We start from the raw sequence: 13,354 nt of genomic DNA, 5'->3' as shown, positions 1-13,354 counted from the left end.
TCTCTTTTGGAAAGAATATCACTCGTTCCTTTTCTTTTTGCTGGGAGAGAAATGTCGTGCACATGGGTTGTGGGTAGAGAAGCTTGCAGACCACCATCTCAAAGAAAAAAGCATCCTGGACTCATCTAGATATCTTCTTAAAATCCCCACTTGTTGAGTTCAGATAGTAAACATAAAAACATCACTTTCTATTATCTGGCTCTTTCTTTATATTCTGTTCCTGAGACTTAAAGCAACCCCCAACTTCTGTCTGCTGTGGGTAAAGCAGTTGACAAACAGGTAATGCCCTTTGGGATGCCAATTAAAGAGGGGAGTCCCACAGGCAAAACAAAGCTCGGCTGAATCACTCACCACCCCTACCCCTGGAGGGGATTAGGCCGGGCCTGGCTCCAGGTCCCATGGGCCCCAGACAGCCTCAGCTAGAAGACCCCAGGGCTCTGGACTAAGTGAGGACAGGTCTGGGTCTCTGTTTACCTGGAACCCCCAGGGTGTGTGCTGGAGTAGAGCAGAACTCCTCTCTACTCAAGGTCCACTGCCAGGCAGGGGCTTTGGAAAGGCAAGAAGCCTCTGCCTCCAGATAGAGAAACCACCCTTGACATGGGACTCACTTTGTATTTATTTCTGGTAGTGAGTGGAATTTGAAGAGCTGCCTCCTCCCCCTCGAATGGCATGGACGGCCGTTGGAGATGAGGCCGGGTAGTGTCCGGGGCGGATGGGCTTGGCTGTATCCAACCAACAGAAAGAAGAGAGAACAGACATTTAGAAAAGTCTTAACAGCAACCCTGATATCTACAGGTCACCTGTGACAACTAAAAGTCACAATTCTTACCAACAGTACAATTCTTATCAACCACCAGATCTCTCTGAAAATGGGAAAACTATCAGTATACTTAGCAAATCCAAGGCATCCAAATATTTAGGGGACAGAAAGAACTTAAACATCAATTAGCTCATTTCTAATTTGGGCCAAGAAAAGTTAGAAAAAAAGATTTTCAGTTTCATCTGAAATGGATCGTAGGTTCCCCATGACTTTCAAGGATATCTGTGTAGCCCCTGAAATTGGATGCAGAATTCTGCCTGTGATGCTGTTTTCTGGGGAGAGGGTCCATAGCTTTTAATAGATTCTCAAAGGGTATGAAATCCTACACATGCAATGAACCACTATTCTAAGGTATGATTTAAAACTAGAAACGTGAAACTGCTGGTTTGCAATACATCTACACAGCAATATCTGATGGGAAATAAATTACATGTTATTGGAGATGTTTCAATTTAAAAAAAAAAAAAAGGAGAAGAAGCTGTTTAGAGAATATTCCTAAATTGTTTTTGTCCCTATGGCTATCCTGGGAACCAGGACTCTGGCTACACCCTCATTTCCTACATGGGCAAAATGCCCAAATCCATACAGGTCTTGAAGAGGCTGAGACTCCAGACCTCCCCAGGTTCTGTGCCAGCCTGTAGCCACACCCTGTCATGGATGCCAGCCTGGCTCTTCCAGGGGTATTTCCAAACCTGCACTTGGAGGCTTTCCCTGGGGCTCTGGCTACATATGGGCTCCTTCATGCTCCCACCGGGTGCAGAACACAGGGCCCTTCACACCTTGCAGAGAAATATCCTCCTATTCCAGTATTTCTAAGAGTGTACCCATTTATAGCCCAAGACCTAGGCCTACAGCCTTGGCTGGCTTCTCTCTGCCCAGCTCAGAAGTTTTGAGACCACGATGTATGCTGGAATATCTCAGAGTAGGATAACGGGGGCGCCTGACATTCCCATTCCCACAGGGTGAGCACAGGGTGCGGTGAGGGCTGCGTCCTGCGGGCTCCAACCCAGCCTTTCAGATGTTCCAGAGTGGGCCAGCGCTGTCTTCACCTTTTAGCAAATCTGAGCTGAGAGGCCGCAGTAGCTTCTCAAACCCCGGGCGCCACTGTGCACGCACGTACCGATCTGGGCTGAATGGGCCCTTCTGGCCATGTTCTTGGCCCGCACGGCCTCCTTGATACGATCCACCTCCTGCTGGTAGCGCTTACGGTCCCGCATGGCGTTCTCCTTGGCCTCCTTCAGCGCGCTCTCCAGAGCCTTGACGCGCTCCGCCGTGGCACGCAGCCGCTTCTCCAGCTTGGGCAGTTCACAGCGCAGGTCTGCGTTGTCCCGGACCAGCTGGGGCAGGAGGATAAAGGAAGGGAGTTACTACCAGGCAGGCAGCATTGCACAAACCAGAGCAGCCAGAAGCAGCCCCTGCTGCTGAACAGGTGGCCCCTGCTAGGTTGTCCTTGGCACTCCGTACAACCACAGAAAGGAAAGGAAAACTCAGACTGTGGGGTCCAGGTTCCTGAACACGTGATTCACAGGGTGCAAGGAACGGTGGGGTGGGGATACAATTAAAACCTATTTCCCACCACAAGAAACTTTCCATCTGAGGCAGGATTTACCTCCTCTTCTGTTTGGGTGTGTGTAGAGGAAAGGGGGATTGTGTGAGAAAATCGACCACATATGAGAATACTAAATTAGCATGAGAAAGCTGAAACACTTAAAGTCGGTTTGAAAGGACTCAGTGAAAAACAAGCATGTTCCTGAGCTCTCAGAGGGCTTCCTTCCATGCAGAACCTGCTGTTTACACTGGCATGGGGTTTGGACCCAGCTTTGCAACACATCCAGAGGCTAAGGTAAGAGGAGGAGACTGCGCCTTTTTGCTGATTGAAGAAGCAACAGCCCAGCCCTAGGTAGGAGTGGGCTCAAGGGCCAGCTCTTTATGTCCTGGCCATCTGACTTGGTGTAAGTCATTTGACCACCACAAGTCTCAAGTTTCTCATCTATAACACAAGTGTACTACATAATAGGGGACCCAGATGGATGGAGGGAGTTTTGAAAATCACAAAGTGCTACACCAAAGTGAGCTACTGCTGGGTCTCCTGCTTTGTTCTCCTAGCACCAGCTCTAGTGCCTGGCAGAGAGTACATTTTTAATAAATGCTCGTTCAATCCATGAATAAGATAATGCATTTCAGCTGGGTGCAGTGGCTCACGTCTGTAATTCCAGCACTTTGGGAGGTCAAGGTGGGCGGATCACGAGGTCAGTGGTTCAAGACCAGCCTGACCAACATGGTGAAACCTTGTCTCTACTAAAAATACAAAAAAATTAGCCAGGAGTGGTGGCGCGCACCTGTAATCCCAGCTACTCGGGAGGCTGAGGCAGGAGAATCTCTTGAACCCAGGAGGCAGAGGTTGCACTGAGCAGAGATCGCACCACTGCACTCCAGCCTGGGCGACAGAGCAAGACTCTGCCTCAAAAAAAAAAAAAAAACATTAAAAAAAACAAAAATAAATAAAAATAAATTTTAAAAATGCATCTCAGAGCCCTATTTCAAGCTCCCTGACAGTTTCTGCTTTCGTATTTCTCATCGACAATTTGTTTGAGTGACTTCAACTATCTAGAATCTATCATCCTCTCTCTGGGGAAAAAATGCCATCATCAGTAATATTGAAGAAGACTTAACAAGTCAAAGAGAAATGACATCTCCTCGGCCATGTGGTCTAAAAACTTGGGCCGTTTCCATCATATCCCAATTCCTAAAGAGGGAAAACAGCCATGCACACACCAACATTTAAAAAGAAAGTATCCAAGACAAATGACCTGCTGAAATCACTGGTGAGTTTGGACACAGTTATCACTCTCTGTCACTCTAGACAAATGCCAGCACATCGCAGGCATCCGAGAGAGCATCTGAGATCGCTAGGAATGGGCAGCTGAGCAGAGAGGGTGCTGGTTCCAGTCCCGGTCCTCCCACGGTGCAATGAAGCAAGGCACCAGTCTGTTTCCCCATCTGTAAAAATAAAGGACTTGAACCAGCTCAGTGGTGTCCACTTTCAGGTCCACAGAGGTACCTCAGAGGTGTCATGGGAGACACAGAGGCTAGATGGTGTCCAAAGTCAGGGGTGGAGGCAGGATGAAAAGACAGGCCTCTGAACACTTCCCTCTCCAACCCCAGAGAGCTCAAACCCTATGCGTTATATTTGGCTTTGATAAAAGAAAGTCCTTTATATATACGGGAAGTCACTGAGAACTAAAGGATTTGTAAGGACCTTTCCAGCCCTCATGTCCTCTGATAGTGTACAGTTCTTTTACCTTCAATCTCAGTGCCTTCTCCGCACACTGTGGCCAAACCTGGTGGGGCTTCTTTCCAGGAGAGAGGAGGGAATCAGAGGGGAGCGGGCAGAACTCTCCTACCTGCTTGTGAACTTTGGTGAGCTGCTCCAGGTTATTCTCCAAGAAGGAAATTTTCTGCTTCTGGGCAGCACTGCCCCCTCCATCATCGTTGTCCAACTCCACACTCTGCATTGACACCAAGGGGTCAGCAGGACAGGCTGTCACCCACCCACCCTCCGCCCCAGGATAATGTGGATGGAAAAAAAAAATCCCCATTCCCACCAAAGGGTATTCTGAAAGTGAAAATAGAGGTTCTAAAAGTTTAGACTCAAGAAATCCCCCAATTAATTTCCCTTATTAGTATGAAAAGCGATTTGAGGAGCTAATTTTTAGAGAGCTAAAAAAAAAAAACTCCTTCAAATCTGCTTTTGAAAGTTGTAGATGATTTATCTTCAGTAAAATATACATCTGCCTTTCATGTAGTAAATAGAGACTTCTTTTCAAAAGAAAGCATTCCAAAACTCATTAAGAAACAACAACTGCAAAAACATAAACCCAGGACCTAAATTTGATTTCAGCCATCATGGTGGGACAACAAGTCACCAAACTTGTAAGCAAGTGTCTATGGTCCCACTGGGAAGTCTTAATGGCCTCTGCTTGTCCCTTCAGCTTCCAAATCTATAAAATTAATTAATGAACCAGGCTCAAATTAATCATAGCATCCGGGTGCTGGGTAAATTCTTGAAATTTATCAGATCTTGAAATTGGCAAAACACTGCACTCCTGGCAAGCCGAGTGGCACAGATAAATTGGAAAGTACAGGTCCTAACACATCCCAGTGTTCCAAGGTGGAAAAGCAGGTTTGCTCTGTCTGATTATAGAAGAGATCATCATCCTTTTTCTCAAAGGTAATGGCTACATGAGCATCTCAAACCTGCAGCTCTTCAGTCTAAAACTGAGCTCCCCAAATTTGAGCCTTAGCACTGGGCTCTCCAGGGGAGGGTTTGTTGAGACTTAGATTGCCACGCCCCATCCCTAGTCTCTGATTCAGTGGACCTGGGGTGGGGTATGAGAATTTGCATATCTAAACAGTTTCCTAGGTGATGCTGAGGCTGATGGCCAGAGAACCACCGGCAGAAAAACACTGGTCTAAAAGCAGGGCTTTCCTAGGGAGTTTTCTATCATGAAATCTGGAAGTCTGATCTCAAGCTCCTAACCCTCCCTAGGACCACAGCCTCCCATGTATGGTCATGGCTTCCACCTCCTTCCTCGGACTGAACCTTTTCAGTCCATGTCATAACCTCTGGCCAGGTGCCCTCCCCTCTCTAGCCTCCCTGTCCATCACCTTTGCTCTGGCTTCACTCTCCTGCCAGGGCCAGGCCCCCATGGTCATTTGTGTTTTGGTCTGTGCTTACTACCTAATCGCCTAGCCATTGCCATGCAGGCCTTGAAATTGCCCATCATTTTCTGCCTTCTTTATTTTCATTTCCAGGATTCGAAACTCACTTAAACCATGCTGTCAGGGGCCACGCCAAGCCCATGCTTCTAACTCAACACCAACACCACTGCTCAGCAATCCTTCTACTCTTCCATAGCACATCCCCTACCTTGGCAGCCTGAACCATGTCTAGTCTCCTTGGGTTTCCCATTCTCTTCCCTACTTCCCCACCAAGGACTGAGCCTTCACATAAACCAAGAAGACCCAAGTCATCAAATGTGACTTCTTTCCACCCGCATGTATTTCCCTGCCGATCCTTCCAACTTGACTTCTCCACTCCTCCCTTCTAGGAATTTGTGTCCCTCCTCCTTAGCAAGCCTATCTAATACATCCATCTACACTATTAACCCTCTCCCTCTCAGACCCGACTCTATCTTTGTAAGACATTTGACCTCTTTCCCTTGGCTCCTTCACACTGACACACATTCACACACACACGTACACACACTCAAATATGCACACACATTTACACACATATGCACCCACTTTTCTTAAACAGACTCCTTCCTTAAACCTCTGCAAGCTGTTTGGGGGAGTCACCATTATGGAGTGTCTCCAGACTGCTGCTGTAGCACGAGGATGGAAGAAGCTCAGATCCAGAGACCCCGCAGGCCTGGGTTCCAGACCTATCTCTGGCTCTTCCCACCAGTGCAATATTGGGTAAGTTATTTAACATCTGAGCCTATCTCCACATCTGCAGAAACAGGAACACTAAGCACCACTTACATGGTTGCTGGGAAAAGCAAATAAAATACTGGATGTTGACGTGCTTTATAAACTCTGACCTAGCCCCTAATGGCCTTTTAACAAACAAATAAGAGGCTCTCTCTGTCCGACTTCTCCAGGCTTCTGGGCAATGCTTTCTGAAATGACTGCTCTAAATGTTTCTGTGTCAAGAGCAGTTGCCCTCACACAGTGGGGGCCAGAAAAATATGCGTTCATTTGAAATGAAGGCCAGAGAAAGTATTCTGACTTCCTTTTACCAAGAAGGAAAAATCAGATGGGAAAATGTTACCAAGTATTTTTTGCCTCCAGCACATTCTTTTAATAACATTCTCTGGTGTGCAGTAATTAATTTTTAAGCATAACCAGCCCCGACTTAAGCAAGTGATATTTCAACTGAAAATGATTCTTCCCTGCCATCTTTGATTTTCTTCTCAGTCCCATTCAGACAAAGAGAACTCACTTTTTTAACTCGGGTGGTCAGATCCTGGACAAAGAGTTTCCGAAGGTTGTGCAGTGTCTGCAATTCTCTAGACTGGAAGAGATTTTTAAAGGCCACTTAAGTGCAGCAATTCACTGAATTTATGACACATTTGGCACCAGATCATTCCCCCGACACTTCCCAAGCCTGCCATGGACGCCGCTGGTGCACCCCCTTCCCTGTGACACCCCCACCCTGACCATGCCCACCCCTGGACCTAGTGTCATTACTGGAGCACCTTGAGGTGCAGAGCCTGAGAACCCAGACCACAAATTGTAAACCAGAACAAAGCCTGCCCATCTGCTCACAGTGGAACCACACATTTCCTCACCCACAAAAATTCAAAGGTTTCCTCACAAAAATTCCTACTGGGCTATGTTGTATCAGGGTGAATTCCTTTTTTCTTTTTTTTATTATGTAAATGTTACAATGTAATACCAACAAGCTGAAATGAAAAGTTAGCCACAATATCTCACCGTAACTGACTCACATTTTTCCTGTCTCCACACCTGCTTCAGACGCAAGTCCACACACTTGCTTGTTTTAAGTCACTGAGCTTACGGATGAGGCATTTCATGGACTTTCCTCCTGGGTGGCCCTGGGCAAGTTATCTAACCTTTCTGTGCCTCAGTTTTCTTATTGGTAACATGAGAATAAAAACAGTGGTTGCCTTATCATTGCTGTCAAGATCAAATGAGATGAACCTTATAATGTTCTTAGAACATTTTCTGGCACATATTAAGTGCCCAATAAAGATGACTAGTATGAATTTATTGATGCATATTTCATAACATAAAAGCCATTTTTTCATTAGGATTGTATTGCTTCCTTTTATTGTTGTTGTTAAAACTTTCACTGTCATCTTGGGGGCATTTTTTCCCTTCATTTTGGATTATTTTCTACAAATGAAACCTTAGGAATTAGATTACTGAGACAAGAGCCTGAGCCAAATCTGGTGATCTTTGTTAACAAGATCAGAAGATCAAACATTTCTGTCTGCTCAAGTCTCCATGTATTTACCATAGGAAATATGATCAGTTCCTTGCAAAATATTTTCCTATAGAGGAAGAGGAGAGAGCTAAATTCTGCATGCAAACTTTGTCTAAATTGACCTACTTTAACACAGAATTTCAAGGGATGCAACTCACACACGCTCACATCTAAAAGGAAGAAACAGACTATAAAGCTACGGAAACACTAAGTTTCTTGCAATAAAGGTTCTCTGTTAATTTAAGGTCTTATTACTGGGTCCAATTCTGTGTTGAAATAAGAAGCACCTGAAGTCAATTGTGTCCTCGGATGAGGTAAATTACTTTCTGCAGGAAACCAAATGGATCTGTGATTATGAATAATGTGCACACAGGACCTGTTTGAGGCTGTGCTGCCTTCCAGCCCAGGGGCAGGGGTGCAGCACTCACTCTGTTACAGACACACTGTCCCAGGCCCTGCCGGAGGGAGCTCAGCCCAGATACCCTGCTCCTTAACACCTGCGCCCACCCTGCATGCACTCTCTCTGTTTCTTGTCAGTGGTTTCATTACTGATTGAACCGTAATCACAGTTTACATTTTTCATAAAAACACCACCACACCAAAGGGGAATGAGAACAGTTCTTTGTCCAAGGCCCAGGCATCTCCTGGGGTGTAAATACTAAATATAGAGTCCTGAGTTTGGCAACTTTCTCTCATTTTGTTTGTTTTTAGGGAGATTCAACAATAAACAGTTTGGGAAGGGTAGTATAAATCATTTAAAATCACTTGTCCCTTTTATTTATGCACACTGTGCTTAGGCAACTATCATTCAGCCTCCTGTGGCAATGCTTTCTCCTCCATCACATTCATTATCATCCCTCTGCCTCCCCACACATGTCCCTCTTCACATCACAGGTTGTGACTCTCCATGCCAAAGCTCAAGGCTCAGCTTCCTGTCACAGTGGACAGCAAGGGTGGGACCAGCAAGGAGGGAATACAAGTCTCATCAACGCACCCAGAGGAGGGCTCCCGCCCCAAAGCCCAGACAGTGTCCTGTTCCAGCCAGTCAGCTGCCCGGGGCCAGGGATGCCCCGACGGCCAGTTGGCCTTTTCCACCACTGTCTCCTGCAGCGGGCTTCCCGGGCATTCACCCCCTGGCCAGCAGGCTCCATGCTCCGCCCACCTCACCCAAACACTCCAGGAGGCAGAACGGGCCCTGCGCTGAGGAGGGCGGCAGAACAGTCAGCCAAGGACAGTGCGTCTATTTCTGAAGAACATTTACGGCTCGGGGAGGATTCCAAGGCTGAGTGAAAACATCCGAGTCTAAAACGGCATACACTGCAGGGCTCCACTCTTGGATTTTTAAAGTGTGCATTTGATGCGTGTGGGTGGTGAGAGTGAGGGAGAGAATGTGGGTGCCACGAAGCCAGTGTGTCTGTCCGCGTGCATGGGCTGGGCGAGGGTGAGAGCGGGGAGCAGCCTGGGAGGGTGCGCATGGAACCGCGCCCAGCGTGGGAGAGAGAACGGACGAGCAGGGAGACGGGAGGAGCTAGTGAGGAAAATACGTCATTCAAAAGACGCAAAAGACCACTCGAACTTCAAAAAAGGCAAAAGAGCTGATGAAACATTCTTTAAATATCACACTCCTGAGTGTATGAGAGGAGAAAGCATGTGAGTCCGTGAGCATGGAAATGAGTGTGCCTGTGAACGGAGGTGGTTGTGACAGTGAATGAGTGTATGAGTGACGGGTGTGAATGCGCCTGCGTGCGTGTGAGGGGGAGTGTCCTGAGACAGCATCTGTGTAAGTGTACAAGGGAGTGTGAACATGCGTGTGGGTGTGAGTGAAGGCAAGCAAGGGGAGTGAGGGTGAGAACTGCACGAGAGTGATTGTGTGAATGTGCGAGTGAGAAAGTGTGGACGATCATTAGTGTGCATGCAAGTTGTGTGTGTGAATGCAAGTGTGCATGTTCTGTGTGTGAGCAAGAGTGTGTGTTGTAAGTACTTGTGTATGGAGGAGCATGCAGGAGTGAGTGCGGCTGCGCAGAGGCATGAGAACAGGAGAGTGAGCAGCTGACTGCGTGTGTGGGCAAGGGACTTGTGAGCCCCGGTGTGAGTGTGTGATGATGTGCTCACATGCTTGAGTTGTAGGTGTGAGTGAGACTGAAAGAGAGCGTGGATGGCTAGGGACAGTAGGGTGAGAGTGCCTGAGAGCTCACGGATATAAAGGAAGAAAACATCCCAAAATATTTCATTGATATCACTGATCTCTGGCTGGTAGAAATATAGTGAAATTTTAATGTTCAATATTTTTCTGAATTTCTATAATTATCTATAATTAGGATTATCACTTCTCTGGTAAAACAGATGTAGATGAAGCAATTTCATGGCTTCATTTCGGGTTCCCCGGCAGCAGCCCCCTCCACAGGCTCCTCCTCCATGCTCCAAAGGCCCAGCTCCCTTTGGACACAGGCATCTTCTGTCTCCAATGGCTGGTGCCCTCATTTCCTCTCCCTGGCTTTGAGGTCCAACAAATATGACTAGTCCATGGGCCAGAGCACAATCTCAGGGCCAGACCCAAGCAACCAGTTCCCACCAATGTGGGGTCACCAGGTCCTTGAAGATGGATCAGTCCCACACAGATCCACATGACCCATGAACGGAGCCAAAATGGATGACTGTATCTAACCAACGGTTTCTCTCTGTCATTGAATCATGTGAAATGCCTGAACGTGTTTTCACCAAATGGAGAGGCTATGTTAGAATGGTCTGTCTTAAAGCGCAGGCTGTGGGGCACGGAGCCAGGCAGCTATCCCACAGAGCAGCTGAAATGGAAGCCGACCAGAGGAGATGATGCCAACAAACCCAGACACACGACAGAGAAAACCAACCAGGGTTTCAAATAACAAGCCCTTCCAAAGGTAGGTTGGGCCCATCACTCCTCCACCCAAAGCCCTGCAGGTCTCAAGGTTTTACCTGGCCTGAATCACTGAAGCCTTTACCTCTCTGTGCTCACCTTATATCCCTGTCCTTCCCTCAGCTGCAGCCACACAAACCTCCCTGCTGGCCCCCAACAGGACAGTCCCGGGCTTATCTCAGGGCCTTGGCATGAGCTGTTGCCTCTGCCTGGAATGCTCTCCCCAACACATCTCTGTGCTCAGTTCTTCTCCTTCTTCGAGTCCCTGCTCAAAGGTCACATCCTCATGGAGCCTCCCCCAGGCACCAACCTATGCACATTCTATAGCAATCTGATAGAGTGCAAGATTTGTTTCCTTACTGTTTATCGTCTCCCACAGCTAAAGGTAAGCTTCATGAGGACAGGGATCTTATCTCTGTTGTTTATGGATATATTCAAGCACCTTGAAGAATGCCAGCCGTTAGGAGATGCTCAATAAATATCTGTTGAATGTTGAGTGGAAGTATGTCACAAAGTGCAGGGCTGTAAAATTGCTAAGTTGCAATTCAGCTTAATCCTCACTCAGGGGCTCCAGGTTACTGCTCTAAGGATAGATGGATTGGTTGACTGATTCTGTGAAAAGTTGAGGACTAAATTCTACAAATCCTACTTTTCCATAGAATGTCTTATCTAAAACATTACACAGAAAGGTGTGCATGGATAAAATTTTGAAATAATCCGACAAATCACAAATGAATCCGGTCTTGGAGACAAACATAAATCGGGAAATATCTTGACATACCACTGTCTCCTCCAGCCCTTTGAGGTCTTCTCTGGCTTGTTCCCTTTTATCGTTGAGCAATCTGAAAAACAAAAAGGAACCATAGACCACCACAGGGGACTCAGAGATTTCAGCAGATACTATTTGCATCCACAGATAAATCAACAAAACCCACCAACAAGCACACAAATAGCCATTGTCTGTTTTTAAATTAGCCCAATCTAACCAGAATATCATGGGGATGAGAGAAAATAGAGGAAATATTTAGAGTGCACTCACAAGAGCTTTTCCAGCTTCATTTCTCTCTCTTGGTCCTCTATTTTCAGCTTGTTATAATCAGAACTAAGCTTCTCCTGTTCCAGTTGCAGTTTCTGATTCAAACTGAAATTGAGAGGAAAAAGCAATATATTCCACATCAGTCTGAAATTCTGAGTCATCAGGCTAAAACCGTGGTTCTGTTCCAACCCTATTAGCTCTGTACAATAAAGGCAGTAATTCTGCAGGATTTGGAGGGATCACAGAACAGCCTCACAGCTTCCTCCGTGCCCAAGTGAAAACTAATTTCTGGGGTGCATCTAAGAGTCATGAAACATAAGGCTTTGAGGATGTATTTATAGTTTGCTTGTGCAAGAGCTTCAGGGGAAAAATAATGAGATGGGAGAAGGGCTGATATTTTAAAACAGAGAGCCCATGTCAGAAGAACTCTGCTTCCTCGGCCCCTCGGATGGCATGCAGTCACTTGGGGAACCTGATTTGGCCATTTCCACCTTCCCTCATTTCTGGTCTGATGTTCTAAAAACATCTCCCAAGTCCGAATGCCTCACTGATACAGGGACAGTTCCTGCCCTCGAGGAGTGGGCACAGAGAGAATTATGAAGAAAAGACAGCCTGGGCTCTGCTGCAAACAGAAACTCGCCATCTGGTTGAGGGTGTTTGGTCAACATTTACATCAGCCCAGGACTCATAAAACCTTTCCTAGAGCCACGCCTAAGCGCCTGTAAAGGAACAGCTATGCACTACCAGAAGGAAAACCCAGAGTCCATTTGAAAGGCACAAGCCAGGGAAGCTTCCCCCTCCACCTAACTCACTCACCAACCAACCCTCTTTCTCCCTCTTCCTTCCCTCCAACCTCCCCCTCCCTTCCAGTCGAATCTGTGAGGGTGATTAATCAGAATAACGAATGTGAGATATCCCTGAAGGGGAAAAGCACAACATGGCAACAGCAGGGGATGGCCGAAGAGGAGAAAAAGAGGGAGGAGGCTAAGTGCCTTCCTTCAGGAACTGGGCACCGAGCCTGGGTCACACCATTTAGACTTTTGCTTGGGTTACCATTCTCCTCTTTTAAAATGCAAATGCACCTTTCGAGCGGCTCACACACATTGAAAAGGGACTTGGATCAGTAGTCTGGAGAATTAAAGTCTAACTCCAATCTGATTCCTATTTAGCAATGTGACCTTAAGTAAATCATTTCGCCTTGCTTCCCATATAGAAATCTGTTTCTTCATCTACAGAAAGCGGGAGGGGAGGGAACAGTGTAGACCCTGGGTGGGGTGGGGGTGGGGAGGTCAGCATTTCAATATAATTGGTTTTCTTTGTAATCCCAGGTCTTTTATGCAGAGCATTTGAAAACATTATTCTGAAGGAGCAGAGGGCATGTCAGAGGCTGCGACAAGGCAGGAGCACAACATGAGGGGGTGTCACCTGAGAGAAACTGCAATGATGCCATCCTGGTGGCAGTGCCACAGGTCACTGGCACCTCTACCTGCACAGACACATGACAGTGTGGGGCCCTAAGAAGTGAGCACATGGAACCAGGTGGCTGGGTTGCCCAGTGAGCGTGTATGTGTAGGGGGAGAAGGGGAGGCG

The 13,354-nt window shown here is 47.0% G+C and overlaps 1 protein-coding gene across 5 annotated transcripts in view, besides 3 other annotated features; it reads right to left on the bottom strand.

Annotated features, from left to right (window-relative positions):
• Positions 1–13,354, bottom strand: part of KIF5C (kinesin family member 5C) — a 151,533-nt gene that overhangs the window by 14,468 nt on the left and 123,711 nt on the right. For all 5 annotated transcript variants that reach the window (NR_111932.2, NM_004522.3, XM_017004062.2 and 2 more), the window contains 6 exons: positions 11,768–11,869; positions 11,510–11,570; positions 6,828–6,899; positions 4,225–4,329; positions 1,941–2,157; positions 609–722 (listed from right to left, as the gene is read on the bottom strand). Coding sequence is in view for 4 of the 5 variants with exons in the window: in NM_004522.3 (NP_004513.1) it covers positions 616–722; positions 1,941–2,157; positions 4,225–4,329; positions 6,828–6,899; positions 11,510–11,570; positions 11,768–11,869 (664 nt within the window). In the remaining variant the exon portion in view is untranslated. The remainder of the gene's footprint in view (positions 1–608; positions 723–1,940; positions 2,158–4,224; positions 4,330–6,827; positions 6,900–11,509; positions 11,571–11,767; positions 11,870–13,354) is intronic.
• Positions 11,156–12,087: an enhancer, noted in NCBI's record as "OCT4-NANOG-H3K27ac-H3K4me1 hESC enhancer chr2:149856719-149857650 (GRCh37/hg19 assembly coordinates)". NCBI's record gives its function as "activates a minimal SCP1, AML or CMV promoter by ChIP-STARR-seq in primed H9 embryonic stem cells {active_cell/tissue: H9 hESC(primed)}" and the evidence as "EXISTENCE:reporter gene assay evidence [ECO:0000049][PMID:30033119]".
• Positions 12,088–13,021: an enhancer, noted in NCBI's record as "NANOG-H3K27ac-H3K4me1 hESC enhancer chr2:149855785-149856718 (GRCh37/hg19 assembly coordinates)". NCBI's record gives its function as "activates a minimal SCP1, AML or CMV promoter by ChIP-STARR-seq in primed H9 embryonic stem cells {active_cell/tissue: H9 hESC(primed)}" and the evidence as "EXISTENCE:reporter gene assay evidence [ECO:0000049][PMID:30033119]".
• Positions 12,523–12,817: a silencer, noted in NCBI's record as "tiled region #317; K562 Repressive non-DNase unmatched - State 21:Repr". NCBI's record gives its function as "represses a minimal TATA promoter and a strong SV40 promoter by Sharpr-MPRA in K562 cells {active_cell/tissue: K562}" and the evidence as "EXISTENCE:reporter gene assay evidence [ECO:0000049][PMID:27701403]".

The sequence above is a fragment of the Homo sapiens genome, chromosome 2, assembly GCF_000001405.40.
Source record: "Homo sapiens chromosome 2, GRCh38.p14 Primary Assembly".
In the NCBI taxonomy this organism is placed as follows: domain Eukaryota; kingdom Metazoa; phylum Chordata; class Mammalia; order Primates; family Hominidae; genus Homo; species Homo sapiens.
Note: the sequence above shows the minus strand (reverse complement) of the source record. Positions and strands in the feature narration are given on the sequence as shown.